This window comes from Homo sapiens, chromosome 16 (genome assembly GCF_000001405.40).
Source record: "Homo sapiens chromosome 16, GRCh38.p14 Primary Assembly".
Lineage (NCBI taxonomy): Eukaryota > Metazoa > Chordata > Mammalia > Primates > Hominidae > Homo > Homo sapiens.
Window position 1 is genome coordinate 50518150 of NC_000016.10, and position 4744 is coordinate 50522893.

The following is a 4744-nucleotide window of genomic DNA, read 5'->3' on the forward strand; positions in this document are numbered from 1 at the left end:
TAGGGGAGGGGTGAAGCTGTCCTTTCTACCTTTCTCAAAGTGTTTTTTCTTATTTTTGTGCTCCATCCAGGTACTGTAATGTTTCACCTGGATTCCTTAGCTTTTGTGAAGATATTTTTGTGCATGGATGGTTGTTCAAATGGATGTTTCTGGAAGGGAATATGTGCTGAAATCCTAGTCTCCCTTCATGCTGACATCACTCTCCAACCTTAGTTTGATTTAGAAAAATACAATAATGACTTTAAAAAAACACACACACCTAAGATGATGGAGTAAAATTCATGCCTGCTATACATGATTTAATTTTAATCATTTCTATCTTCACAACTGCAGTTTAGCCAACAACAAAATAATTCTATCTTTCTTGAGCATGGAGAAACTGATGATGGAAAGAAGTCAGTGAAGGATAAAATTGGTTTGTGGATTATCTGCAAAGTGGAATAATCAAGAGTTGGTTAAAATTACTGCTAGCTCTCCCCATCATCAAAATTTATAAACAACAACAACAACATTAACAATAGTGTTAAAAGCATTAGCCAGGTGCTGAGGATCTACTGTGTTAGATACTGAGTGCAAGGATCTCCAATTATGTTATTTAGTTGAATTGCCTGAAAGCCCGGTAAGGTAGGAATTTATTATTCCCACTTTATAAATAGGAGAAACTGAGGTTGAATAACTTTTTTGAAAGCACAGAGCCAGATCTTACTCTGCTTACATGGGGGATTATACAGCTGCAACAGCATAATCTCTCAAGTCAACCTGCACAGAAAAGAATGCATCATAGGCAAGGTACAGGGTGATATCAAATGGCCAGTGATAGAGGAGAAATGGACTTTGGGAGGGTCTGGATATAGAGAGCCAACTTTGGCCTTGGAGTCTGTTTCTCTCTGCACGTCAGCTGCATCTTTCTTTCCTTTCAGACATACCTCACTTGCCTGTGGTCCAGTTTGGATAGTCCCAGCACAGCTTTACAGGAATAGGCCCCAAACCGAACTTCCAAGGAGGAAGGATCTGATCGGCTCAGCTTGGGTAAAGTGTCTGCCCTTGGTCCAGGTGGCTGTTTCCAGGGAGGGTGGAGTAGGGAACTATAAATAAGGCTGTGGGGGAGGGGGACAGAGGTCAAGCCCCGAGTAGAAGGTGTGTTCTCTGAGCAGACACCTCCCTATTGTGTAGGGCAACCTGAGGCTCTGAGAAATAATTTGTCTAATATCACCCAGCTCACGATGGACCCAGAATGGAACCACTTCCTGAGGTTTTTGAGTCAGGCAGACCTGGGTCTCAACCTTGGCCATACTGTGTAACCTTGGGCAAGTCCTTGAGCCCCCAAAACCTTAGTTTTCTCTATTCTAAAATCTAGAAAATATAAACTGCCGCATAGGATTGTTGTGTAGTGTAGATAATGTCCACTCAGCTCCCCACACGTAATAGACTCTAGTGTTAGCATCAGGCATCTCTAGGTTATGGGATGGCAGCTCGTTGGGCTTTTCTTTCCCACAATAGCTATATTGACCATAATTTCAAAATAAGAGAGAACGAATAAGTGTTCATTCCTTTTGTCTTGTACTTCTTGCATCTTGAGTCTATTATTAACCTCTGTGTGACCACCCAGCAGCTATTTGAATGCCACAGGGCCTCAATTTTCCCATCTGTAAAATGGCACAGTCATTCCCCACTCCCAATCATCTCCAGTGGCAGAGGTGAAGTTCTGGTGGGCCCAGGGATATGAAAGAAGACACCTCAAGGGAAACAATAATTTATTGCAACAGTTAAGAAAGAAAAAAAAGCCTGCATAGGGCTGAAAACTGGTTGGCTCTTTCTCTAATAGAGGTCCAGTATTGCCAGACATTCCGATTTTTTTTTTTTTCTGGAGACAGAATCTCGCTCTGTTGCCCATGCTGGAGTGCAGTGGCATAATCTTGGCTCACTGCAACCTCCACCACCTAGGTTCAGGCAATTCTCCTGCCTCAGCCTCCTGAGTAGCTGAGATTACAAGCATGCAGCACTATCCCCAGCTAACTTTTGTATTTGTTTTAGTAGAGATGGGATTTCACCATGTTGGCCAGGCTGGTCTCAAACTCTTGACTTTAAGTGTCACCCGCCCCAGCCTCCCAAAGTGCTGGGATTACAGGTGTGAGCCATCATGCCTGGCTACATTCTGATTTTTGAAAAGAAATTAGAAAGTATTTTATTTCTTTAAGAAATATTCAAATATCTGATATTTTTTCTCAATCTTTTAAAGTGTTTGAATATTCAAATTGATATTTAAATTAAAAATCATCATGGGGGCAAATAAGGCATTCCCTGGGGCCACCTTTTGAGACAACTCTTCAAAGGGAGGCAGGGAAATTTGGGGTCTTGCTTTGAAAGCTGTTCCCCACTCAAGCTCTGGTCCAAGCCTCTGACCAGGCTACAGAATTCCTGACCTCCACCGTCCCCACCGGAAGCCTCCTCCCTGCCTGGTGCCAGGGATGACTTCAGCTGGAAGACAAAGGGGCCTTCATGTTCAAAGGCCGGCAAGACGGTTCATCCTCTATCCTCCACAAACAAACAGGGTGGCTTTGATCTGGGTGGGGGTGGAGGCAGCAGCTCCAATTAGGAGATCAGCCCGTGTCTGGGCTAAAGAATGTTTGTAATAAAATAAAAGATCTAAGTGGCTGTAATGAAGGGTAATAGAAAAATGGTGTCACTCGGGATTCTCTCTGTGTTGCTCCATTTGAAGTGGATTAACTGACTGGTACAGGAGAGGGGACTAGGGGCCAGTCCCCAGAGCCTCTCCAAGCCTTCATCCTGACCTCTGCTCTGGGGTTGAGTGGGCACTACTGGGTGCACTCAGGAAGGAAGCTAGGAGAGACAGCATGACCCTATTTTCTTTTCTTTCTTCTCTTTCTTTCTTTCTTTCTCTCTCTCTTTCTCTTTCTTTCTTTCTTTCTCTCTTTCTCTCTCTCTTCTTTCTTTCTCTCTCTTTCTCTGTCTCTCTCTTTCTTCTTTCTTTTTCTCTCTTGCTGTCTCTCTTTCTTTCTCTCTCTTTCTTTTCTTTCTCTCTTTCTCTCTCTCTTTCTTTCTCTTTCTCTGTCTCTTTCTTCTTTCTTTTTCTCTCTTGCTCTCTTTCTTTCTCTCTCTTTCTTTCTTCTTTCTCTCTCTCTCGCTGTCTCTCTTTCTCTTTCTTTCTTTCTTTCTCTCTCTTTCTCTTCTTTCTTTCTTTCCCTTCCTTCCTTCCTTCTTTCCTTCCTTCCTTCCTTCTTTCCTTTCTTTTTTTCTGAGACAAGGTCTCTTTGTGTCACCCAGACTTGCGTGTAGTAGTGCAATCATGGCTCACTGTCACCTCAACCTCCTGGGCTCAAGCGATCCTCTCACGTCAGCCTCTCAAGTAGATGGGACCAGGCATGCGCCATCATGCCCAACTGATTTTTAATTTTTTTGTAGAGATGGGGTCCTGCTATTTCGCCTAGGCTGGTCTTGCATTCCTGGGCTCAAGCGATCCACCCACCTTGCCTCTGGAGGTGTTGGGATTACAGGCACGGTGGCTCGTGCCTGGCCAGACCTTCTTTTCTGAAGCATGAAACTCCTCACCTTTGCAGACACAGCCACTTCCACCCTCCTTCACTTGACACATTTAAATCAAGGTGGTCCCCAGTGACTCTCCTTTGGGGAAAGATGTTCCTGCTGTTCCTGGCTTTTGTTATCCTGCTGTGAGGTTGCTTCACTCTTGGAGCCTACTGCATGGAGTTCAGTCTTGCATTACAGCAGGGCTTGGGCTATTTCCTGCTACAAACTCTTTCTTTGAGGGCAGGAACCCTTGTGGATTGAGGATGGCACAGTTCTTCCTCAGCTTTTACATCCACTGGACTCAGTGTGGAGGAAGCTTGCAGGAAAGACTTTGAGTTAGAGTCAACGGTTTGATATGCAAACTTACAAAAAAGGAGGCACAGAGGTGGTATCTCCAACATGCCAACTGCTTTGTGTTCATTATCAGGACTGACACATATGGTTGCTCAGATTGTGCACTGCACAATCACCAGGTATGCCTTCTACAGCTTAGGGAATGATTCCTTTCATCATTCCATTTATCTTCATGATAATGCTGCGAGGCAGTCATTTGGCTCTCAAATGAGGAAACTGAGGCTCCAAGGGGCTGAATGATATCCCCCAAAAAAGATGACTGAACTAGGAATATGGAGCCTTCTGGACCCCCTGAAGCTCTCGTGTCACCACATCGGGCTGCAATGCTGAGTATGTATTTAGTGCTGAAATGCACAGTGCATGTGTACACTAACCCCTTATACATCCTGATGAGGTGGTGAAAGTCATTATTATCTCTGTGTTACAGATGAGGAAGCGGAGGGAGAGTGGACTGGAAGGAACTTGACCCAGGATGCTGAGTAAGCAGAGCTGTGAATATTTGAGTTCAAGCAGTTGGGCTCCCAAAGCCGGTGATGTTAACCCTAAGCACCTTGTCATCATTATAATAGTAATACTTCATTTCTAGCTACTCAGTCTGATATGTTTTTCTTCCTTTTAAATTGGCGATTGCATTCACTGGAGAAAGCCTGGGGAGACAACATTTATTCTGTCCCAGACCATATTTGTCCCTTCCAAGTGGACAAATAATAAGTCCACTAATTATTGTCCTGCTGAGGGACAAACAAGAAGTCCCTCTAGGACTTACCGGGGTGTAGGGTCTTCTCCCTTCTTGGTTCCCTAATCATCCAGCACCCCTCTCCCCAGGAGCCACCTGCAGATGAGT

At 44.4% G+C, this 4744-nt stretch overlaps 1 long non-coding RNA gene across 1 annotated transcript; it reads left to right on the top strand.

Annotated features, from left to right (window-relative positions):
- The first annotated feature begins 920 nt into the window (after window positions 1–920).
- LOC124903772 (uncharacterized) lies at window positions 921–4489 on the top strand. The gene is made up of 2 exons (XR_007065196.1): window positions 921–1029; window positions 4328–4489. It is a non-coding gene; the product is annotated as an uncharacterized LOC124903772 (long non-coding RNA).
- The last annotated feature ends 255 nt before the right edge of the window (window positions 4490–4744 follow it).